Genomic DNA, 26,162 nt, shown 5'->3' with positions numbered 1-26,162 from the left:
CAGACAGGGGCATTTAAGTCTGCAGAGGTTTCTGCTGACTTTTGTTCAGCTATGCCCTGCCCCCATAGGTGGAGTCTACAGAGGCAGGCAGGCCTCCTTGATCTGTGGTGGGCTCCACACAGTTCCAGCTTCCCGGCCACTTTGTTTACCTACTCAAGCCTCAGCAATGGTGGGCGCCCTACCCCCAGCCTCGCTGCTGCCTTGCAGTTCAATCTCAGACCACTGTGCCAGCAATGTGCAAGGCTCCCTGGGCATGGGACCCTCTGAGCCATGTGCGGGATATAATCTCCTGGTGTGCCATTTGCTAAGACCGTTGGAAAAGCGCAGTATTAGGGTGGGAGTGACCCAGTTTTCCAGGTGTCTGTCACAGCTTTCCTTGGCTAGGAAAGGGAATTCCCTGACACCTTGCACTTCCCAGGTGAGGCGATGCCTCGCCCTGCTTCGGCTCATGCTCGGTGGGTTGCACCCACTGTCCTGCACCCACTGTCCAACAAGCCCCAGTGAGATGAACCCAGTACCTCAGTTGGAAATGCAGAAATCACCCGTCTTCTGCGTCGCTCATGCTGGGAGCTGTAGACTGGAGCTGTTCCTATTTGGCCATCTTGGAACCGCCCCCTATCATCTCATTCTTAAATGATTAAAAGGTCCAATAAATTGGTTTTCTTGAGAGGTTTAGTGAATGCATAGGATGTGGAGTAACATAGGCTTAATTTGAATTCTGTCTCTGTCCTTTACTAACTCTGTGTTCTTAAGCACATAATTGAAACTCTCTGGGTCCATTGAGGAACTAATAATTCCACATCTCAGGATTGTTGTAGGCGTTTATTGAAGAAAGGTTTATAAGGCAAGTAGTACAGTGCTTGGAACATGCAAGACACTCCATAAATGTTAATTCATTCCCTCCTCCCTATTTCTTATACCCTAACTACTTTATAATTTTGTTCATATATCTTCACAAACACTTGAAATTGTCACCTAACTTGGGCCTTTGCTGAAACCATCCTTCTTCCAACAATTGTGTCCACCCCAATTCCTAACTTACTATTGAGACACATCACTATTTCTAACTTCGGGTCTTTAATCATGTAAACTTTTCTTCTTGAATTATCTGTCTTCCCATTTCTTTTTGTAGAAAATGGATCTGATTTCTTGGATCCTCTCCTTCCCCTATTAAGATGCTACCTCTTTCTATAGCCCTTCTTGAATCCACCAGTTTAAACCTTTACCCCCACTGTATTACTGTAAGACTTTATTTGCAGGTAAGGGAAAAAGGATCTGCATTTTTGAGCATACACTGTTGAGTCTGGATATACTTGTTATGTGTTTTTTACAGCAATTTCATGAAGTAATTATTATCTTTGTTCTTTTTTAGTAGAAGAACTTTCTCAAGGTCACTCAGCTAATAAAGACCAAAGCAAAAATATTAATCCAGGTCCAAATACCTTAATTCAAAATATCTTTTCCGTTTCATACTACCTTGCCTTCCATCCTCTACCATATATTGTAATAATTCTGTAAAAATATTAAAAAACATAATTCTGACATTTATCAAAGATTTTGAAAAATGAAAATCTGTGATTGACCCCATAAATAAATGATATTAAAGGATAGGGATAGTGTTTTATTTATTCTTGTATCACCTTAACTGACCTATGTAACAAACCTACCAATAGGCATGTGGTAAATGTCCAAGTGAAAGACATCAAAAGCATAAATAGGACCTTTCACCAGAGTCTTATTCTTCAGGTTCCGCCTCAATTTCAAATGTTATAAGTGATCATAAATCCTTCAGCCATCATATTGTCAGGGTAAGGTCAATTTCGGTGTTCTTTCTTTTGAATAAGAATGTCTGCAACAAAAATGGAATTATTATTGTTAAATTCTTATCATAATAAGACTCTTCATACATTAGAGTCCTGGGCTATTTTGTGAAAATCCTTGGCCTGATTCCTGCAGCCAGAAGGCAGCAAGCTCCTTTATTTGTCTCTCCATAGCATTAGTAACCCTGTACAAGTTAAATTTGTTTTATTTATAGCTTGGAAGAGCTTTCACCCATGAGGAGTACTGAGTAAATAGACTTTTCCCATCATTCTCCAAAGAGGTTGGAAAGGAACTACTCAGGAGGAAAGCCTGGAGGGTACAAATTATCAGAATGAAGTGTAGTCTTTTGTTCAGAATCAGAAGAATTAACCACTCAAATCATAAAATACCAGATGAAGCTCACTTCACCCAATAGGAGTGAGCAAAGTGAGAAGAAGGAAGACATGGTGACACAGAAAACCTCCAAGGAGTAATCTCTCCAGTTTAAATGAAGACAAGTTCACTTGGGATCCTCAAGGTTATATTTTTGCCTAAAAGGCCAAGGAAGCATGCTTTATGTTAGCACAGAAAAGAGTTATAGTTTAAAAAAACTTTTAAAAAAATAGGTGAGATTGAGAGGGCAATGCAGAATAATCTGCCGATCTGTGAAGTGTCTATGTCTAGTTATTTGTACTTGAGTGTGAGAAGAGCAACTCAAAGTTATTGAATTAAAGGAGTTCAAAGATCAATGCAACACGATTAAATAATCATATTGTGAATTAAATAAACATAAATAATCATATTAGACCTTAAATCTGCTATCTCTTGGAGAGAAATGAGATGGTTATGTTCTTTGATAAACCCCCAAATTCTCTGCTGTCCTTGTGAAAGGAACATGCTGCTGTTTCACTGTGAGCTTTGAGATCCTTTCAAAGAGAAAGAATGGGTTTTTGTTGCTCAGTACACACAAACTTGCCTGGTGCCCCTTCTAATTAATGGCATTTATTTCCCCCAGAGAGCTGCCAAAGGCTGAAGGCTGGGATGTGGCATTGAGACAGAACTAACCTAACTGGCTCTCATGGGGATTGATCACGTGCATTGACCTTCCACTACAGTGTTCTAAGCATTTGAGTTAACTGGGTGTGCTTTCCCTACAAGTAAGTCTCAGCCACTCCATAAAAAAGAAGATGGGATTGTCAAGTATCAGGTTTCACATACTGTATCTTTAAGACAAGGTGAGGTTTACTTTCAAAGCAGGGTGTGGAACTTTCTACAGAGAAACCCTGCATGGTCATAAACTATTCATGAAAGTTCTCATGTTTCTAGAACAACCTACTTTCTACTTCCCTTAACTGGTCTTATTATTACCTGTCTCATCTTCCTGACAACTCTGACCTCAGATCTACCTTTAATTTATTTTAATACATTCCCTTTTTTATCCTGGACATAATGTTTATAAATTGTTGATATCTTGTCCATTTGATACCTGACCTTGACCTACCTTGATACCACTGTCCTTACTTTTGCTAGAGATGTCAGTGTCAGACACATTTCTCAGTGCCTGTTCTTGATACCCCTTTCCTAACCCCATTTTTGGCTTTGCTCTCCCTGTGAAAACTTTACAACTGAAAGAGGTTCCACTACATGACACAAAGCCAAAGGCAGGACAAGGGACTGCAAAGGCTCCTACAGCAAAGTCTGCAGTGTCATAGGACAGAGGGAGTGAGCTCCATCACCCTTGGCACCTAAGCAACAAGAGGCCTGGCCTAGTTTCATACACCCCAGAGAACCCTTAACTAAGCAGGTGGTCACACCAACTTGAGACTGTGCTTCAACTGTATCTGTGTCCTGAGACTGTGCTTCAACTGTATCTATGTCCTGAGAAAAGCCAACCATGTCGTTATGCATCAGCCAATGCAGTGCAACAGAATAGTACATGCTTTGGAGCCAGGGCTACTTGGCTTGGAATCCTGGTTCTACTCCTTGCTAACTGTGTTACCTCAATCAAGTTTCTTAACTTTTCTGAGCCTCAGTTACCTTATCTATAAAATGGGGGTAATTGTACCTGCCTTTCACTATCATTGTAAGAATTTAGAGATAACAATTATAAAATACAGGACATTGCATATAACATACAATATATCGGGTTTATTATTATTTATTTTTCCTTGCTATTTTTGTCATTATTATTGTCATGACAGGGCCTTAATGTCCAGATTCTAGCAAGAATAGTGAACATTTCAAATATCCAGGCAGCTCATTTCTTGAGAGATGGACCACAGGCTTCCTCACACACTAGGCTGGTTGCTCAGTGTTGTAAATCACCACTTGGCTTCCTGCCTGAACTTTTAATCTTGTCCCCATCTCAATTTAAAGAGGGTGAGAAAGCAGAGACATCAATCGTTTCCTTGTCAAGGACAACAGCCCCTTCCTTCTTCCTTGGATCTCTCCTGGGGACCCATCTGCCTGGTGCCAAGGGAGGGGGCTGCTGCTGAATACAAATCACCATGTGGTGGGGGAGTCTTGTGCTTCTATATCAGCCAGGAGCCATTTCACCATCCCTGTGTGAGACTCCAATGAGCCCAACCCAGTCCTCCCACTGCTCCTGGGGTTAAGCGCCCCACTGCTTCACAGTCACCCTGGATAGTGATGTAACCATGAAGATGGCAGTTACCCAAGGTACTGGGACACAGACTTTATTGATTTGTTCTTCTAATGTATTAGGAGGAAACAGGAAACCTCAGGAAGGTCATAAGCGACAATTGTGCATTGACTGGCACAGACATTGACTTCATTCAGAAAGGCACGACTCAAGTGGCCTTGCTTTCAGAGAGGAGGGGGGCCATAGAGGCAAGACTCAGAAAATAAAGACAATAAGCACGAGCTGGATCACAGGGAATCAGAAGGAACTGAAGAACCTAACGCTCAAGCTCACACTTGAGGGAAAGTCTTTGTTCAGTTCCTGGTAGAGCCAGATGTTCAATCGATGTTGCTAAACAATTGGATGAAGGCATAAACCAGCAAGGGTGATCCCCTTAGAACTTCCTCTATTGATTTTCTGGGCACCTCTGTACCATTTTCCCATTTGATTCTGTGGTTACATGCCCTTCTTTCCATCTCTTTTTCATGATCTTTAAAGCTGAGCCCGTCAGATAACTTTTAATGGACTCCCGCTGTTTTCTTCAGCTTTCAACCTCTTGCGATGCGCCCTGTAATCACTGACCACTGCAAAAATCAGAATGGCACATTTGAAGATCTCCTGGACTTCCTGTACCCTCTTTTCTTCTAGGTCTGTGTTCTGGATATTTGGGGTTTACCTCTCAAACGTTTTGCCTTCCCTGATGATTTTATTAATGAGAAGTGCCGTCTTTCTTCAACGGTTATGGTTATTTCAACTTTATCATCCAATTCTCACTTTCTTGTGAGCAATTATTCCAGATGAGCATTTGAGTTAACTGGGTGTGCCTCCTCTACAGATAAGTCTCAGCCATTCCGTAAAAGGGAAGTTGAGATTCTCGGGTATCAGGTTTAAAACACTGAATCTTTAAGACAAGGTGAGGTTTACTTTCAAAGCATGGTGTGGAACCTCCTAAAGAAAACTGTCTATGAAGCCATATCTTTCTAAATGTTTGGCTTTAATCAATTCAGCAGACTTTTGGATAGGATCCTAAGGTCTCTTCTAACCCCATAACTACAGTTAAACCATTAATCCAGAACTCAGTGGAACATTGCAGTTTTTCTAGAAACGGTTCTCTACTGATTATTAATACTGAAAAACTATAGACCACCAAGCAGAGATGGACCTTCAAACCACTCTTTTGTTTAGGCTTTTGTGGGCTCTGTACAGGCAACAGATCTCCAGTCCTGGTTTTAGCATCCATGTAAAACACCATCTTGGCAGAAGGAGAAGCAACAGAAAAGTGCTATCTCCAGTGAAAGACGTAATGCGGGGGTTTACTCATAAGCAGTGTAGAGATTAAGGACAAAGCCTTCTGTACAGCTCAGATTCTAACACACGGAGGTGATTAGTCCCAGCTCTGCAAGCTACTCTCTCTGTAACTTAGGCACATGACTTAAACTTTGTAGCCTCATGTTTACAGGGGATTACTAATAAACTAATAATGGCCTCATGTTTAAAAGGGATTACTAATAAACTGTTTTGGGAGTGCTATGAAGATAAGCAGACAATGAATTTTAAATAGCCAAGCACATAGCAACTGCTCAATAAGAAATTGTTGGTTTCCCCCTCCTGCCCAGGATACCAGTGAGTTCTGGACTAATAATTTGGCTTCAATCATAGACTCATGGGCTTAGAAGGAACCTTAATATCATATTTTAGTATAAAACATCTAATATTTATTAACCACTAACTATGTGCCAGGCAATGTGATAAACAATTTGAAAATAATATTTTATTTATTGAGATAACAGATATTATACTCATATTTCAGATGAGAAATATGAGAAAAGTGGGGCTCCCATGTATTAAATAATGTTCCTTAGGTCATGCAGCTAATCACTGATAAAGCAGAGATGCACATCTTGGACTTTCTCACTCCAGAGCCCATTCTCTTAACCACATTGTTGTAAGAACATTTTAGAATGAGAAATCAGTGGTATGACTTTAATAAGCTAAAAAATCAGTGAACTGTAGAGTCTCTGGGGAAATACGGTTTGGAGAGTGGAGGTGGAAATGCACTAAAATAATAGATTCCAGTATCGATCTAGTGAGCGGAGCTGAGGAGACAGAGATTAGTCGGATTTGTAAAGTTGTTATTAGTATTTGCCAAAGATGTTTGCCATTGCCCATGTTCTTCTTGGGAATGTTGCCTTTTGAATATTACTCTGGAAAACAGGATCAATAAAAATCCTTTCTTTCCTGTGTCCCAACATGCTTATTAAATTTTCTCAGTACTGGGTACCATGATAGGCATGGAGAGAACAGAGATATCAAACACAGGGCAAGTTTTACATTTGATGTGTTTCAGTTATAGATGTAAGAAGCTGCATCTGGAAAAAAATTTGGGGCAGCAGTTGGATGGGCTTTGAGTCTACACTGAGGAGTCTTAACTTCAGCAACAACCTGACATGAAGTTACTTAGGAGGGGAGTGCTGTGAGAGCTGCAATTTCTAAAACTCACCCTGGACCAGAGATGATGCTATAGTTTGTTACTTGGTATCCCTGAACACGAAGAAGTCCACAGATGTGATGAGATGAATACCTTAAACTTGTAGGTGAAAAGCCATGTCTGTGTGCACATGAGCTTTCTTTTCTGAAAAGAATGTCAAAAATTTTATTCTCAAAAGGTCAGTGATGCAACATGATTAAGGTCAAATACCACTGATATTGGCTCAGAGGAAGAAAAATTAGAGGAAGATATGTAAAGGTTGGTGAGGAATACAGTTGAGAGACGAAGATGAGCAGAGATAGTGTCATGGAGATGGAGCTGGCAGGTGTAAAGGCTATGCTACCTAGGACGTAGCAATGACACCTGAAATGGGCAATTAATCAGGTGTGGAAGGTAAGAGAAAAAGGAAAGATGAAGCTTCAATATCTCTTGATTTTCTAGCTTGGGAGATGGACCAACACACCAAGAAAGAAAATACAAAAGACACTATAAGCGTAGGGAGGAGATAATAAATTTAGTATTGGTATTGGTATAGATTGCTCTTTGAAATGTAATTATGGAATTGCAGTTTTCTCTATGAAGCTTAGAACATATGTCTATGAAGCTTAGAACATATGTCAGAAAGTGTAATTTAACTCATTGACATACCAGACCAATGAAGATGAACTTGTTGATTTGAGATTTGTAAGGCAAACACAAAAAGGATTGTTTTCTATAAAGTTTGGATGTATACCTAAAATTGAAGCTACCACCCCATCTCCTATTTCCACCTCTCTCATTCCCCCACAGTCTCTGAGACAAAGGTCTCATAATGGCTTAAATATGTTTATACAATTCCCAATGTTTAAATAAATTCTTAAGAACTGGCATAATCCAGATTTTTTCCAAACTGGGTAAAATAACAATCCAGTTATTGCCAGAATTTTCTTTTTTTATAAAGATATTTGGTATTTTGTAGACATAGTTCAAATTATACCAATGCCTTAACCATCAAAAGTAGAAAACCTTACTAAGAAGATTTTCAGCAAATACTGTGTGCCAGTACTAGATCTCTTTGTAAATGTTAATTATTCTAGGCAATTAACATATTTTTGTTGCATCAACCTTATGAGGTAGATATTATTTTCCCTGCTTTACAAATGAAGAAAAATGAGAGCAAAAAACTAAGAAACTTGTCCAAATGTGTCAAAGTAGGAACTGGCAGATCTTTTCTAATCCCTAGTCTATATATATTTCTGACTACATCTGCACCTCTGGGTCATTGAGCCCATTCCTTTTTAGAGTCCCCATCCCTTTATGCCTTCCTTCCTTCCTCACCACTCAGCTTAGATTCCAGAATCTGAAGCTGTAATCATCTTCTTGCAAATCCTCACCTTTCTGGCCCTTCTGTCATTCTCAGCCAGCCAAACTCAGTCCTCAAACCCAACCGTGCCTATTTCGTCCCTACAGCAGGGTCACTGATAGTGAACGGGAGAAAAATAGTCAACCATACTGTCTGGTCTAACCTCAAATTTGTGACCACAAACCTCAAGTGAACTTTCTATTTTCCCTGGCAACCTTGCCACGTTTTTTGATTCTCTCATTATCCAAGACAACCATAGTGGAATCTTCTCATTTCTCAGCCTTCTTACTCTGCCCCCTTCTTTTTATTCTCAGATGATGACCTTGCTTCTTATCCAGCTAAGAAAATAGTCATGATCTGAAGATAAAAACGTGTATTCTCATTACCAGTTTTCCAACCTATCTGCATCTCAACCTCCAGAGCCAGCTTTCTCCTGTTTATATATTTATTCATAGGGATTGTTCATGCTTCTACTAAGACCAACCCTTCTGCTTGTGCACTGGATCTCATCTGACTTCTTTCTTTTGGACTTTGTTCCTGTAGTAGTTATCCCTCTGTCTTCTTGATCATTTTTTCCTTTTCTGTTGATCATTACCATCAGCAGACAAGCATGCTATCCTGTTTCCCATGTTAAGAAAATGAAACCCGCCCTTGACTCACATTCTCTTCTAGTTCTTGCCATATGTTTTTCCTCTCTGTTAAAGCAAAACTCGAGAAAAGAATTGTCCATCCATACTTGCTCTCTCCACTATCTCATTTCTAATCCTTTTTTTAAAATGTGCCAATCAGGTGTTAGTTCCCATTCTTTCAAAAACATTTTTTGAAAACTGTTATTATCAATGCCATCAAACAGTGACATGTCAAATCCAGTGATCAATTATCAGTGCTACTCTTAAACTCTCAGGTGCTCTGACAAAGTTATTCACTTTTTCTCTCCTCAATACTCTGTTCTCTTCACTTCTGTGATAGTGTGTTCTAGATTTTCTTCTCCTTCACTGGCCAACCCATCTTAGTATTTTTTTTTTTTTTTGCTGGCTCCTCCATCCCTGCTCTGACAATTCAGTGTGTTTCTCTACTGTCTTCTCGTCACCTGCATTTGTTTATGGATTATTTCATACAGTCTGATAACCCCCAACTTTCTATCTCTTGTCCTAAATTCTTCCATGATATATGGGATATCAATTACCTGCCAAACATCTAGAATGTCTATTATCTATCTTATATGTAATACAGCTAAAACAGAAATCTTGATCTTTTCTTCCCTCTCAAAATACTCTGATTATTTCCAGTCTTTTTCAAAACTTAGAAATCATTATTGATTTCTCATTTCCCCTTATTTCTTACACCTAAGCTCTCAGCAAGTTTTATCAGCTTTACCTTAATCTCACTTCCCTCCATCCGACAGTTCTGGTCTAAGCTACCATGCTCTCTTTGTTGGACTACAATTGCCTACAAATTGATCTCATTGCTTCTACTCTTCCTTCTTTCCTCTCCCCATATCTTTTCTCTATTCCAGTAGCCAGTGTTCCTTTTAAAATGGATTGTGTTTCTGTCCCTAAAATCACTTCAATTGCTTTTCATTTTACTGAGAATGAAATTCAGACTTCTTAATGACCTACCAAGCATTACCTGATCCAGCCACTGCCTACCTCTCTAATCTTATTTTCTACTAATTTCCCCATTGGTGAATTGTGCTATATCTACATTGGCATTTTGACTTTCTTCTAACCCATAAAACTCATTGCTGCTCTAAGGGTTTTGCATTTCTCATTCTCTGGACTCAAATGCTCTTATTCCAGATACTTATGAAACTCTTGCCATTAAGAAATATAGAACATCTTATTGAAGCACTATTCATAATAGCAAAGACATGGAATCAACCTAAATGCCCATCAATGACAGATTGGATAAAGAAAATGTGACACATATACACCGTGAAATACTATGCAGCCATAAAAAAGAATGAGACTATTTCCTTTGCAAGAACACAGATGGAGGTGGAGGCCATTATCCTTAGCAAACTAATGCATGAACAAACCCAAATACTGCATGTTCTTACTTATAAGTGGGAGCTAAATAATGAGAACACATGGACACATAGAGGGGAACAACAGACTCTGCGGCCTACTTGAGGATGGAGGGTGGGAGAAGGGAGAGGATCAGAAAATAAAACCATTTGGTACTAGGCCTACTACCTGGGTGATGAAATAATCTGTACAACAAACCCCTTTGACATGAGTTTACCTATATAACAAATCTACCCATGTACCCCTGAACCTAAAATAAAAGTAAAAACAAAATGAAGAAGGTGATAATGTGACTAATAAAAATTTGGTCAGGACAGCAAGAATACCATAATTAGTATAAAACAAAAAGAAAACCACACACACTTGGCCGGGTGTGGTGGCTCATGCCTGTAATCCCAGCACTTTGGGAGGCCGAGGCGGGCGGATCACAAGGTCAGGAGATCCAGACCATTCTGGCTAACACGGTGAAACCCCGTCTCTACTCAGAATACAAAAAATTAGCCAGGGGTTGTGGCAGGCGCCCGTAGTCCCAGCTACTCGGGAGGCTGAGGCAGGAGAATGGAGTGAACCCGGGAGGCAGAGCTTGCAGTGAGCCGAGATCGCACCACTGCACTCCAGCCTGGGCAACAGAGAGAGACTCCGTCTCAAAAAAAAAACCCAAAAAAAAAACCAAAACAAACAAACAAAAAAACAGTTGTACTACTTAGATAAAATTCTGCTTGTATTAATGTGCATCATATATTAGTATAAAAAGATTTATTTTTATACTAACACTCAGTTAAATATATGTGAAAACAATCCATTGTTAATACTTGTCTGTATAAGTTGTGACTTTTTATTTTATGTTTTACCATCAAAGAGATTGTATAACTAAAAAAACGTAGAACATCTTTTTTTATTTTTATTTATTTATTTATTTTTTGTTGAGATGGGAGTCTTGCTCTGTCACCCAGGCTGGAGTGCAGTAGTGCGATCTCGGCTCACTGCAACCTCCGCCTCCTGGGTTCAAGCGATTCTCCTGCCTCAGCCTCCCGAGTAGCTGGGATTACAGGCATGTGCCACCACGCCCGGCTAATTTTTGTATTTTTAGTAGAGACGGGGTTTCGCCATGTTGGCCAGGCTGGTCTCGAACTCCTGACCTCAGTTGATCCACCTGTCTCAGCCTCCCAAAGTGCTGAGATTACAGGCTTGAGCCACCATGCCCTGCCCAGAGCATCTTAAAAACCTAGAACTTCTGTTAGAAGAGCCTTAGAGATCTATAACACAAAACTTATTTTTGCATTTTAGAGCTGAGAAAAGTGAAGCTTAGAAAGCTAAGAGACTTGCCCAAATCCAAAAAGGAAGTGACCAAGCTGAGACCTCCGTTCCTCTGTAACCAATTTCCTTTCCTATAAATTTTTCAGGAAAGCTAATTACTCTGTGTATGGCACTCTTCTTGTTTTCTACTCACATTAACTGTGATTAGTTATAAACAATAGCACAATTTGTATATTAGGATTACATTCTTCTGAATTCTTTTCACAAACTCTTTCCTGGGGCAGTATGCTTATGTGGGCGAGAAGGGTCAGAGAAAAGATTATGGAAACTCAAGGATGATAGTATTTTAACTTAATAGATGTATTTGACTTTTTCTCTGTGGAAATCAAAGTGCTTCACTCAGAGGTGTTAATTCTCCTGTGATCCCTCTGAAGTAGCTTACAAAGACCATTGCACAGATGAGAAAACCGAGTTTGCATCCCCGGTCTGTACTACTGACATCAGCTGGAGGGACATTTCTAAAATATACGACTGGCTGCTTTATTCCTCTGCTTAAAATCCTTCATGACCTCCTTTGCCCTCAGGATAAATTCCAGACTCTTTCACCAAGCTAAGCAGCCCTCATAACCCATGCTCTCATAGTTAACCTCTACCCCTTCCACTTCCTTTGGTATACTCACTGCTATTGCCACACGTGTCATGCTCATTGTCTTTCACCTCCAAGGCCTTTACCTATTCTGTTTCTGCTCTGAGCGCCCTTACATACCTGTTCTTTGTATCGAGGAACAGGTGTTACCTCTTCTCTGTATCCTCTGAGGCAGCGGCATTTGCTTCCTCAGTATTTTGAACATCTTATGCATGACCCTATTAGAGAATTTATAAGTGCATGAAGGGTTTTTGTTTGTTTTGTACTTCTTACTTCTCTTTTAGATTGAGCTCTTGATGGACAAGCATTGGGCCTTATTCCTTTTGGTCTTCATGGAACCTAGTTCAGGACTAGGCTCATGGTAGTATCTGAAAAGGTACTGGATGAATGAGTGAATGTGACTAGCATCCTGGCAGGAAGTGAGAACAGCCTCCCTATAGGATGTTTTAATGGATTCTCATCTGCCACTGCCTTGACCACGCCTCTTCCAATTCCACTGATATTTCACAGACTTTACAGTCTCTCCTAGGGTTAAAGAGGCCAGTTACTCTTGCCAGGCTCCTGGCAGGCACTGCCACTGGTTCTTTAAAGGGCCTCTTCAGCCATCTCTGAGACTCCAAACATGGACACATGCTATGGGATTTACATTCATTTGTTTAGTGCAGTGCACTCACCCCTAGTGTTATGCAAGATGATTTCTAGGTGATTTGTGAATGTTGTAAAATAGATATGCTATGTCATTTAAAAATAACTCTTTTTTTATTGATGATAACAAGTTACAGGTTCTGTTTAAAAATTATTTAGGTTTAAAATTAATTGATTTAAAGAGAAATATTAAGTTCAAAAAACACTGGTGTATGGCAAAACCTGTGAAGTGGTGCCTGAATGATTGATGGTAGAAAAATAACTGATTTCATTCCTGTAATCATTCACACACTAATTCATCAGATGTTTACGGCACATTGCATGGCAGACCGTATTCTAAGTAAGGGGGATATAGGCAGTGAATACTTTGTATTGGTCTCTGTCCTTTAAATTTTAGACAATCTCCTTGGGCACATTGCACATTCCACTACTGGCAAGAACAATTTGCTAGTATTCACACTGGTGTGGGTTGACTAGATTGGATGGGAATGGCATAATCACTTTCTGGAAAAAGAAAAATATATACAAATATACATGTACGTATGTATATGTGTGTCCATGTGTGATCTTGTGATCTGGATTACTGTTTTGCCAATTCTATTCAACAGAATATGCCAGTGGGTATACACATATACACTCACCACACAACCACCCAAATATTAGAATTGTTATGTCACACTGCATAGGAAATGGAGCTGTAAAATAACTTGCCAGGAGTGGAGCTGAAAGGTAGACAGTGAGTAACAGGAAGAGAACTGATATTGGCATCAGATCAGAATTCAAATATCAGTTTTGCTACTTACTTCAAGACTTTGGGTATGCTCACAACATTCAAGGGCTTAAATGATTAGTTATGCCTAGCATGGATATGGGAGGGGGAATTGGATGATCAGTTATGTCTGACAGCAGCATGAAAAGGGAGAATGGCAACACGCTTACTGCACTGCATTTACTGTTTCTGAGCTGGATAGCTTTGAAGAGATCTTTGAAGGCTAACTTTATGCAGTTCTGCAAAAATCAACTTCTCCATATTTTTCAAAAGAGTAAGTAGTGAACGAATATGGCAAAGATGGCAGTGATGGTGCTGATGGTAATGGTGTGGAATGACTTCAATTTACCTCCACAAAACTGGTGGTAGGAGGCCTCTAAGATAACCCCCAATAATCCCCACCTCCTGCTGCTCCTCCCCATCTGTGACTCCCTGTCTTTCAATGTGAATTGGGCTTATTTCCCTTGTAACAAATAAAATACAGCAGAAGTAATGGAATGTCATTTCTGATATTAGGTTATAAAAAGTCTGTGACTTTTTTCTTGGGTTCTCTCTCTCCCTCTCCTTCTCTCCCTTTCTCTTTCTCTCTCTGAAGGAAGCCAGCTGCCATGTTTCAAACTGCTCAAGGGAGAGGTCCAAATGGTAAGGAGCTGATGTCACTGGCAAACAGTCAGTGAGGAGCTGAGCCTGCCAACAGCCACATGAGGAAGCTTGGAAAAAGATCCTCTCCAAGATTACTCTTGAGATAACTGCAGCCCTATCTCACACCCTGATTTTACCCTTTTGAGAGATCCTTAGTTAGAGACAAACAGCTAAGCTGCACCTGGATTCCTGACCCACAGAAATTGTGAGATAACAAAAGCTTAAGCTTCTAAGTTTTGGAGTAATATCTGTCAAAAGAAAACAATTACAGAACTCTAAGTTTGGCAATCACTAAGGTGAATCTTGACCTGTAATATGCTGGCCTGAGTCCTATACTTTGTATATTAAGAATTACCATGAGCTCAGATCTCTATTTGGATACAAAATCATCCTCTGCGCATGTAGACACGTGGGGACCAGAGTCACACGTTGCTGTGAGCTCCAAAACATTATTCCAGCTTCCAACTGGATATTGCTTAAAGAATGTCTCTATGTTACCTCCACATATAATGTTTCCAAAATTCTCCCTAGTCCTGTTCCTGTACTGTTATTCTCTATTGTTAGGCTCAAATCACAAACTTTCGAATATCAGTGATTCCCTCTCACTCTCACTGACTATAGCTTATCTCTGGAATCCTCCCCTTACTATCACTGTTCAACTTCACTACTAGGATCTCATACCTGATTAGGGCAGTAGCTTCCTGTCTATCATCTTGCTTGTCCCAAGACTTCCTTTTGCACTGCACCCATTACAATGCTTTGTCCTTTTATCATTGTCCTTTTATCTGTAAATTTGTAATATTTAATGTGGAAACAAGCATATCAAAATAAAACTATCTTGAATCCCATCATCATTAATCTGATTTAATTTCTGTACAGCCTTTCAGTCTCTGTCTACATGCAAAAAATGTATCTCTGTCTATATGCAAAAATGTATATCATTTGATGGTAATAATTTCTATATAATTTTTGTGTGTTTTACTTTTAACCATTTTCTCAGTTTGCAACATTTTGTCTTTGAAATTATCATTGCCAATGACTGCATACTATCCCATGGAGGAGATATACCCTAAGATACTTAACTATTTCCCTATTGGACATTTGAGGTGTTTCTAATATTTGTTGTTATAAGTGATATTGGATTATCTTCCTGTGAAAAATTGTTCTCCCCTTGTCAATTAGTTCACTATAGTAAATTTTCAGAAAGAGAATTCCTAGGATAACCATTCTGAAAACTTTTTGGTATTAGATAGATGTGCCTGATATTTTTCTGAGAAGATTGAACCTGAGGCATTTTGTGCCAAGAATGTAAAACAACATCTTTTAATTTCCAAATTTTTTGACATAGCAACATACTTATTTTAAAAATTCCCATTGACAGCATCAAAAAATTCGCATAGTAATGTGGACAGATGAAAGTGTTCAGGAAGAAGGGAAGAGCAGAAGTAATTTAAAGTTTGTTAGGACTGGACCTATTTTTCTCCATTCCAATATGCAAGCAAACAAACAACTCTCACTCTATTTATTGACATCTAGGAATGTAGATGCCTATTAATTTTCATACCAACTTTGTAAACGTAAGCCCCACTCTCAGTACTGTGCTCCTCCCCAGTGAGTGAGAAGGCAGCTGTACCCATAGAACTCTCTTTCTTCAGAATACCCTGGGTACCTGTAATGCCAGAATACTTGACCCAAATGGCCCTGGCCCAGATTTTCACTATCATAAATAACAATAAATTTAACTTTTATTCTAAATCTTCCTTCCTGTCCTGTTCTTTTCCTTCCTTTTGTTCTCCTGCTCCCCTTCTTCCTTCTCTCCCATCCCTCCTCATTCTTCTTCTTCTTCCTCTTCTATTTATATCAAGCTTTGTGCATGGAGGCCACACTAGTATAGAAGTCAAGAGTGAGGACTTGTGAAATCAGACTACCTGGGCTCACTCTCAGCTCCTACACACTTAAGCAGCATGAACATACATACAATTGTCTCACTGTTCTTTGGTTCTCTCATCTGAAAAATGGGGATAACCTGACTGCTTCCTCCTGGAGTTGTTATGATGATTAAATAAGTCAATATATACCTGGCAATTATAAGTGTCAGCACATAGTGAGTGCTCAGTAACTACCAGCCACTATGACCGAATCCTTTCACATCATTTCCTCAGAAAAGGTTTCCAGAAGGGGAATTACTGAGACACGGGGTAATAGCACCTTTTATGCTCTTTTCATGCTTAACCTCCTGAAAGTGCAGCACTGATTTCCACTGGATGGTGATAGTTTCAAGGACTCCACCTCACTCAGGGCTGGAGAGGAAGGCGTGGAGGATAAATGACTTACTGTGGCCTGGCCTGATGTCACCTTAGCACTGGGTAGCCAGGCTTGTGTCTGAAGAAAATGCAGCTAGACTCACCCACATTACACAGTTGGCTGTGCAGGGGTGTCAAGCAACAAGCTGATACTGGAGAGAAGTCAAGGAGAAATACGATTGCCTCAGGATAGGCACTGCTCTTGTCAGGAAAATTCCTAGGAACATGAAGAGAGACGTGCTTAAACGGTTCTGTGAGTCATATCCAGGAATTTGTAGAACAAAAGGGCAATCACTCCATGGCCACGCAGGGCTCCTGACAGAGGGCTTTCATGGAAGGACCAAGGAGGGCCAGAGAACACAGAGCAGACCAAGTCATTACCTCCCTGGTGATTCCTGACCCACATTTACAGGAGCCGGTTTCCCTTTCTTCTTCTATGAGGGACATTAATAGTTCAGTTCTTTTTAGTAGACAGAGAGGTTCTGGGTATCTGAGGGGTTTAAGAAAGACTGACACACAGGACTGCAAGAAACTCGACGCACGCTGACAAGACCTGACTTCCCCAAAATAACTTACTCACCAGATCCTTGTTGCTGGTAATTTAGCAGCAGTTGGGGTGTTTTCATAGTCGTCTTGAAAGTCAGGGCACTGGGTTGATGCTGCAGCTACTGACAATGATGAAAAAAGGTGAGGATGTGATAAAGATGATAATGAAAATAATGAAGAGAATGAGAAACTAATATGGACTGAGTATGCCAGTGCTGGGTGCTTTCATATGTTTGATCTCAATTTATTTTCATGACCTCCCTAAGAGGTGGATATAATTGTCCCCATTGTACCTCACAGAGGTTAGGTATCATGCCCATGGTCACACAGCTGCTATGTGCCCACCAAGGATTTAAATTCCTGTCCACATTTCAAATCCTGGGCTTTTTCCTCCAAATTCTATGCAGTAGATAAAAACACCATGAAACAAAAACAAAAAGACAAACTCCCCAAAACAAAACAAAAAACAATCCATTTTGGAGAAATACCCACATGTAACCCTTCTGAAGGGCACCGGACTTCTTGTAATTACAAAACTAACTTTGCTGCATGTCCTGTACTTTGCGTTTTCTGCTTTCAAGCCAATTAAACATATTATCCCTGCCAGGGCCTTAGACTACAAACCAGTTCCAGATTTGTGAGAGTCTTGAGATGTGGGGATTAAAACAGCCTGATCACAGAGGGTTAGACTGTTCGAAGGGTGAGCAGCCTTCACCCAGCGATCCTAGTGACCTGGTTCCCCTCATGAGGCAGCCATCAGATTTCTCAGCAGATCAATTGTTCCCAGGTAACTTGCTCATCTGAGCAGCCAGAGAGCCTCCGCGGTTGCCCACTGAGAGCACACCTGAGGCTGCCCGGCTTTTCAGTGCCCGGCAAGTTTGCCGACCTGATTAACCTATGATAATTATTTTGTGAAGCTACACAGTAGGCAGAAGGTACTAGACAGACAGCCCTGTTGGCCAGGCCTTCACAGTTCATTTCCACAGGGCATTCCCATTTGAGTCTCTGGACATGAGCTAGATTCATCCCCACGTATTTCTTTCCCTTTTCTGCTTGTTCTCTTCCCTGCCCTCTATCGTGCACACACCAGGGCAGGGTCACCAAGTTCCTTGTATAAAAAGATGCAGAGTGAGGAAAAAAAAGAGAAAGGTGACTAATTCATTTTCAGGACAAGCTAAGCAGTCTGATGCATATTTAATGTAATTGCTTTGCAAAGCAACAGTTGTGTCTCCCAAGAATTATGGAGTTTTTAAGGCAAATGACAGAAGGGAATTTCCCGAAATGCTCCTCAGTGGAAAGAGCAGAATGTTGACTTTTGTGTGAATCAGCATGATCTCCAGGCATGATGGTTGAGACATAGTTTTTATTGGTTGCAAACCTGGTTTGAATCTTGTTCTTGAACCCTTCTGGACTTATGATCTTGCACTGAGTTTTTAATTTCCTGAAACCTCAGTGTCTTCATCTTCCAAGTGGGAATAATAATAGTCATAGAGTTGTTATAAGCACTACATGATAAAATATAGATAAGAAGCTAAGCACAGTGCTCAGCACACAGAAATACAAAATAACTGGAAGCTGTGATGATAACACATGTTGTTACTTGGGTTATCATAGCTAAAGGAGAGTCCAGGAAACCAGGTCATACAGTCCAGGTACCATGATGCAAAGTAGAATCAGGAGTCCAAGAATCATGGAATGAAGGGATTCCTGAAGGAGTTCTCTTAAGAAGGCTGGAGATGTCTCTTCTGCTATAAAGGGGATTGACTAAATGTGCATGGTGACTAAAAGGAGATGGTATACGGAAGAGTAATTTTCTTTGACCCCAATAGACTGAGAACAAGAACTTCTTTTAATTAAACCATGGAGGCCGGGCACAGTGGCTCACTCCTGTAATCCCAGCACTTTTGGAGGCCGAGGCGGGCAGATCACGAGGTCAAGAGATGGAGACCAGCCTGGCCAACATGGTGAAACCCCGTCTCTATTAAAAATACAAAAATTAGCTGGGCATGGTGGTACATGCCTATAGTCCCAGCTACTCAGGAGGTTGAGGCAGGAGAATCACTTGAACCCGGGAGGCAGAGGTTGCAGTGAGCTGAGATCACGCCACTGCACTCTAGCCTGGCGACAGAGCGAGACTCTGTCTCAATAAATAAATAAATAAATAAAATAAAATAAAAATTAAATTTAAAAAAACATGGATACCCCTTGAGAATTATGACTTTATTCTTTTCTTGAAGTAGGGCTCAAAGAGCAGCTGTCAAATTATATCCATCCACTTCAAGACCTTGATCTCTTTCAGAAAGTTGGGGGCAGGGAAAGGTCATATCACATTCTAGGCCCATATTATTGAGGTCTGATTTTCTGTTCTTTTATATTTACTCTCCCTTTTGCTCATGCAAGAAGACTAGATGTCAAATCATGCAAATAATCTGCTAGTTAAATTTTTTAAAGGGAAGAATGTGATGACACTAAAATTTGGAAAAAGAAAAGAAATCATTCAAAATCATTTTGTGTCATCTCCTTTTACTTACTTTATCTGAATCCACTTAGATTTTAGGTAGTCATAATGAACTTTTAAAATGTTTGCTTCTTTCCCCTATAATTATATCATAAGTGCATTGTGCTTTTCATTTAGTCTTCATGGTTATCACTGCAGATCGTTCCACAGTATTATTGTCCCTAATGTTGGATAGCTGGGGTGTTTCACTTTTTTTCTCATTCGAGTTAATGCTACAAAGAACATCATCCTGTATAGATTCATTTTATTCTTTTTAATGATCTCTTCAGGATAAATTCCATGTTTGGAATGATTTATAATTCTTGATATATGTTATCGTATTGCTTTTTAGAAGACCTGTACTAATTTTTATTTTCTCCAGAATAGAACACTCACAAAATTGCCAGACCTGGATGCTATTTTTCTTAATTTGCTAATTGTTTTTTTCTGATGATTTGTTAACATAGTCGTGTTCACAAGACTTATTAATTGTTTACAATTCCTCTCAAATTATCTGCTTTTACAAAAAACAAACCTACCAGGTATGCTAAGTGTGACCGTGACAGGTCAACCCTGGGTTCCCTGAGGCTGGACCCTCAAGAGGCTATAATAGGTTGGATTGTCTCAGAAGCAGATCCTAATATAGAGAGTAGCATGGAGGAAATCTTTTGGGGAGGACTCTTAGGATTAAGAGCTTGGAAGGAAAGAGAAGAAAGCAGGATCAATTGGGCAGAGAGAGAAGTCAAGCTGTGGTTTAGTCTTGATGCATAGGAGTTCACAACGAATCCACAGGAAGTTGTGAAGATGGGATGATGGCTTTTGAGAGCTGTCTAATATTAGGTTGAGAAGCTTGAGCATATAAACACCCTGACAATCAGTCACTGGATGCAGATGGCTCTGGAAGAGTGTGTGAACTTGGGTCAGGTCATCTCTTCAGCTGAGACCCTTCAGGGGCTAACAGTTGAGGGCTATCTGCCCACAGAAATCCTTCCATGCAGTGACAAATTCTTCATTCCTGAAGGGGTACCTGGGCAGCCAATCATAGTGTCCAGGGCCGCATAAGGAGTTTAGACACAAACACACTTCAGTTGCATTTTTTTGCTGCAGCATTAACAGAGGTGTTATATCTCATTCCACCCTGAAAATCTGAGCATCTGACCCTGGCCTCCTGCTCAGTCCACTTCTCAAGGCACTGTGGTGCTGGGAATGAAGGGGAGAGAGACTGAGCAGGTTAAGGGGCACAGTTTAGTGGGGGAATCAACAAGTGACACACAGTACTGTGCAGGGAGTCCCCAGAACCAAGATAGGCAGCTTAGGGAAGTCCTCTCAGAGATAAAGCTTAAGCTAACATTGGAAGGAGGAATAGGAGTTTATGAGGGGGAAAAAAACACCATTATAACCATCTGCCCCTCATCCCTGCACTCCTCTACATTCTTACATTCTTACAGTACTTGAGCCTGCTCGTATTGGTCTGCCACGAATGCTCTTCTTCATCCTCATCCACTTGCTTAAGTCTTACTTATTCTTCAGAGCCCATCTGAAAAGCACCTCTTCCCTACAGCTTTCCCTGACCTGGTCCAGAGGTACAGGTGACTCCAAAGGAGGTTCTCTCTCCCTCCATGTCCCCTCCCACAGCACTTAGCATCCATGTCTGCCATAGCCTTCATCACATGGTTTGCCTCCTCCACTGAACCATGAACTTAGATTCTGTGACTCCTCTTTTCAGGCTTGCCACAGAGACAGAGCTGGGAGACTGCTGGACCACCATAAACCAATTGAAAGATCATCTCTTGAAATTCAATCCTAAATGCCATTGCTGGAACTCAGTAGCTTCTCAATAAAAGATACACACTGAATAAATTTACATATTTAAGTTCATTTTCCATTAGCTTTCCTTTCAGGAAATCACTTTTTTTTTCCTAAGTGGTATTTGGGAGAAAGTCCACTTCCTACTACATGTGGTTTTCTCTCCTGCTTGAGAAACCTGAGCCTTCCTAAAGATCATCATCAGTCCACTCCACCAGCCCCACCCACCAATGAGCAGGCCAAAGCATGTCTCCTTAATACAGAGCCTTTTTTTTTCCTTGTGAGAATGCCAAACCTGCTCTGCTATCTGAGATGAATAACCCCAGCTAAAAGAGAACCCACTGAGTCTTCTAGCCAAGGAAGCTGCTGGCAGAGATGGGAGTGGGGGACAGTTGGGGCAGTGGGTAGAGCACATTTTGAAGCATAAAATTTCCCAGGGTCAGGACATTTCATTAGGAGACTTCTAGATGTATTTTTCTCTCTAAAGACTCAAATGAAAGTCCAGAGAATTTACCAACTGCAGTGAAACATTCTGGTGCTTTAAAACCCTTTCTTTATCACCAGGAGTCCTGTTGCCCATTAATTGTAAACAAGTTTGCTCGTTGATCTAACAAATGCCTATTTATTTTTTAGGTTCACTCTGTTTCATTTTTAATTAAAATTGTTGCATTGATTTGTTTTTAAAATAATAGCGAAGACTCTGACTTTGTAGGTTGAGAAATAAATTATCATTTGAAGGATTAGAGTGGCTCTTCTTTTGATTTTAATAAAGATTAGAAGAAGAAAAAGAAGCACAAAGGAATGAATGCAGCTCCCCCAATATAATGAGTTAGACGGCTTCCCCCCTTGATCAAACAAAAGAACAAACGTATTAAACAAAGAGTATAGATTTGACAAACCATCTCTGCTCTGGCAAAGGATTTTCAAGGGGATTTGGAAAGTTGTAGCCTGCCCGTGTTCTGTTATTTCTGAGTATATTAAAGCCAGTACTCTGTTAGCTTAGGTATTGTTTTTGTGTGTGCTTTGCTTCCTGGCAATAGAGTCTTTCTTTAAGAAAAGCAATTGGGAGATACCCCGGTCCTGGTTAATCTGTTCCCCTTTTCACACACAGACCATTGTCTGGATGTGCTTCCCAAGAGGCACAGGCATTATGTCCTGGGCCCCCTCTCCCAAGTCGGCGGCCTGTACAAAGGAAGCGTACATCTTGGGAAGAGCCTGCTGGATTTCCATTTGACACTAGAGCTGTTTTGCTTTGTGTAACCCTCAATGCAAAATGTGCCAGTTCCCAAGGAAAAACACCACCACCAAAAAAACAAAGCAAGAAACAAATTTGTGGTTTGTCAGTGTTTCACTCAGGCCCTCTACCGCAAAGAAGAGTTCGGGAGGTTCCTGCTGTCTTCATGGGTGACTTCAGGGCTCTGGATAACATCCATCCCCTGTGGAGGTGCTGAGGGTCTGGCTGTATCCCTAGAATAGGAACTTCTGGAACCGTCCCTTTGTCCTAAGGTCCACTGTGGCTTTCCACCCCGATGTAAAGGTGAGGTGAGCTATCTATACACCTGTCAGTCAACTCTGACAACTGGACTTGCACAATGGCTGCCCTTGTCATGTTGATATTTAATTATTCCCTGTTTACTAGTTCTTTTTTTCAGATTATAAATATGGCCCCAGACAAATACACACACGTGCACACACACACACACACACACACGCCTCTGATAACTCTGGATATCCCTCTCCTTCTCCTTCCTTCTTTCTCCATTTTAGTTTCTTAAGAGTGTGGTATATTTGTTATCATCTCCTAACTCCAACTTTTGCTTGCTCCTGAAGTTCCTGCAGTGTGGTTGCTGCCCTTTACTCCCATCCATGATTCCAACCTGCCTGAGATCACTAGCTACTGCCATGTTCTTAGGCACTTGCTTATTTACTTCCTCTTCCTCCAGACCATGAGCAGACTCAGTGTTGGGGTCATACATTATTCATCCCTGTGTTCATAGCATCATGGGGCTCAGTGCCTGTGACATGGTTTCGCTGTGTCTCCACCTGAATCTCATCGTGAATGGTAGTGCCCATAATCCCCACGTGTCATGGGAGGGACCCAGTGGGAGGTAATTGAATCATGGGGGCGGGTTTTTCCCATGCTGTTCTTGTGATAGTGAATACGCCTTATGAGAACTGATGGTTTATAAAGGGTAGTTCCCCTGCACACGCTCTCTTGCCTGTGGCCACATAAGATGTCCTTTGCTCCTCCTTCACCTTCTGCCATAATTGTGAGGCCTCCCCAGCCATGTGGGACTGTGAGTCCATTAAAACTCTTTTACTTATAAATTACTCAGTCTTGGGTATTTCTTCATAGCAGTATGAAAATAGACTAATATAGCCTGTTTGACTACATGGATGTATTTCAAAACTATCACATTGTCACAGCTTCTTCTTAAGTTATGGAAAGAAAAAAGGCATTTCCTGATCATTTTGCCTATAGTAGGCTGACACTGGGAACAGCCACACACATTTTCTCAGTCATCTTTCCTACAGCAAGGCATTTTGCAGATGAGGCAACGGAGGCTCTGAGAGACAAATTAACTTGCTCTAGATCACACAGCCGGTATGTAGAAGATGGTAAATCTAGGAGATTGTGTTTTAAAAGGCATTTCTGTTCTTTGGGATGGTTTAGATTTTGGTACAAATGTTTCAGGCATTGAGAGCACTTCATGGAAATGAAAGACTCATCTGAGGTGAGTGTGGGAGTCTCAAATGCTGAGGAAGTGGAGACCCATCTCCTAGCTGCCATTATGCCTATAAGACAGATTCTTCTCTTGGGTAGTGAATGGCCCACTTAATTGGAGAAAGGATAATAGCATCAACAAATAATACTTAATGAGATTTCTGCTCTGCTATAGCAATAGCTTGTGTTAAATTTATGAATTGTATGAACTCATTTAATCCTCAAAATAATCCTAGGAGGAAGGTACTCTTATTAGTCTAATTTTATTTATGAGAACACTGAGAGACAGGTTAGATAACTTACCCAAAGGATTAGATAACTTGCCCAAGGTGGTAAGTATAGCTGGTAAGTAGTGAAAGTAGGATTCAAACCCAGACAAGTATCATTCCACAGTCCAGTACTGTAGCAGCCATATTATCCCAGGTAAATTATCCTCTTCTTAAAAGTCCTAGGGTTTCTATATTTGCCTGGGGGTGGGAATATCTTGAATTCATCTCATTGATTCTCCAAGCTAAACATGCTGAGTTTTTTCATCATTTCTCTATATGGTGACATTCTGGTACATTACCATCTTGTTTTCTCTTTGGGGATCGTCTTTCACTTTATATAGCTTCCTCTTAAAGCATAAACCCCAAAATGGAGCAAGATGTTCCAGGAGTTGTCTGTCTTCTTGATGTAGCATAAAGTCACTAAAGTTTCAGTTTTTGTGGTCCTGTCACATATAATGATTTATGCTGTTCTTCCTGCTAACCAGACTTCCTGAGTCTTTTTTCAATGAGCTGCTGGGACATTATACCTCACTTATTTGAGGGTATTTTGGCATAAATTCAGGCAGTACCTTAAGTTTATCCTTGATAAATTTCACCTTGTTAGATTCCTTTAACCCATAGTTTTTGCATGTGCTTTAAGTCAGCTACCAAGTTGCTAACCAGACATATTGAAATGTGCATGAGATTTAGAATTGGGAAACCTTGAATTTAGAGTATGGTTTGTCACTTAATGAATTATTTTATCTTAGGCAATTTTCATTAACTGCCCTTGCCTAAGTTTTCCCATCTGTAAATTAAGTCTAATGGTGTAGACTCAAGAGGATTGTGAGAATTCCTTGAGAAAAGGCTTTAAAAATAAATTCTTGTTATCATTATAAATATTTCAATCCTCACCGACCTTTCAACAGCCTATCCAAAAGTCAAAAAAAGTCCCAATATACATTTTTTAAGCTTTTATTTTTGTTCATTTGCATTATATTTATGTTACAAATGTAACATAAATCATTCCATGCAAGGTTCCTGGGGTTTTGCATTAATTTTTTAAAATGCTTAGTGATTGTTTACACTGTTTTCTGAGAAACTAGCTGTGAAATATGAAATACGTATTCTTAGAAATGCTTCTAATCAGCTCTAGTTTTTGTATAACAACTGTAGTAATATGGTTACCTGAACAAGATGTTAATAGAGCATTATCCTCTTCTGGAGATATAACCTGAGATAGGACACATCAAGCAGAGCCTAATGATTTTCTGCCTTAGTCAGAGGCAAGGTCATCTTTACTTTCTGGGCTTCCTCTAAGGACTCAAGCAACCAGCCTCAGGAGGAAATATGAGAGAATAAGAGAACAGAAAAATGATGACTAATTTCTGATCCAGATCTCATTCAGAATTGCACTTTGATAATACTAATCTCCCTAACCATTTGAACCACTAAATTCTGAACATTTTGCTAGCCTTGACTTTCAAAGTCACCCCAATCCTTCAACATTTTACTGACTTCTCAAATTCTTCCATGACAGGCTCTGATCACTAATATTAGCCTGAGCTTTCCAGACTTAAAGAACTGGCCCCTTGCGTCTTCTGACATAAGATGCTTGTCTAACCCGTCAAGTCTTCCACATTCAACTGGGCCTACACTTTGAGCTGTAGATCAAATTCTGCTACTATCAGCAAGAAAAGAGCTGTAAAATACATTCTTGAAAGGCTCTATTAGGTCTTCAGGATGAAAATACTTTTTTCCTACTCTCAGGCAATGTAAA

The 26,162-nt window shown here is 40.3% G+C and overlaps 1 long non-coding RNA gene and 1 other non-coding gene across 7 annotated transcripts in view, besides 1 other annotated feature; both read right to left on the bottom strand.

The window, feature by feature from the left end:
* Positions 1 to 803: 803 nt before the first annotated feature.
* Positions 804 to 26,162, bottom strand: part of LOC107987108 (uncharacterized) — a 675,821-nt gene continuing 650,462 nt past the window's right edge. For 3 of the 6 annotated variants that reach the window (XR_007061713.1, XR_007061714.1, XR_007061715.1), the window contains 3 exons: positions 17,141 to 17,228; positions 16,592 to 16,777; positions 804 to 1,849 (listed from right to left, as the gene is read on the bottom strand). This is a non-coding gene — a long non-coding RNA (uncharacterized LOC107987108). The remainder of the gene's footprint in view (positions 1,850 to 16,591; positions 16,778 to 17,140; positions 17,229 to 26,162) is intronic. The other 3 variants (XR_001746870.2, XR_007061711.1, XR_007061712.1) reach the window with 1 other exon arrangement.
* MIR8081 (microRNA 8081) lies at positions 4,583 to 4,677 on the bottom strand. Its single transcript, NR_107048.1, has one exon. It is a non-coding gene; the product is annotated as a microRNA 8081 (primary transcript).
* Positions 10,826 to 10,990: a silencer, noted in NCBI's record as "fragment chr9:109356896-109357060 (GRCh37/hg19 assembly coordinates)". NCBI's record gives its function as "represses an EF-1alpha promoter that drives an FKBP-Casp9 reporter gene in an ReSE screen in K562 erythroleukemia cells {active_cell/tissue: K562}" and the evidence as "EXISTENCE:reporter gene assay evidence [ECO:0000049][PMID:32094911]".

Source organism: Homo sapiens, chromosome 9, assembly GCF_000001405.40.
Source record: "Homo sapiens chromosome 9, GRCh38.p14 Primary Assembly".
Classification (NCBI taxonomy): Eukaryota; Metazoa; Chordata; class Mammalia; order Primates; family Hominidae; genus Homo; species Homo sapiens.
Note: the sequence above shows the minus strand (reverse complement) of the source record. Positions and strands in the feature narration are given on the sequence as shown.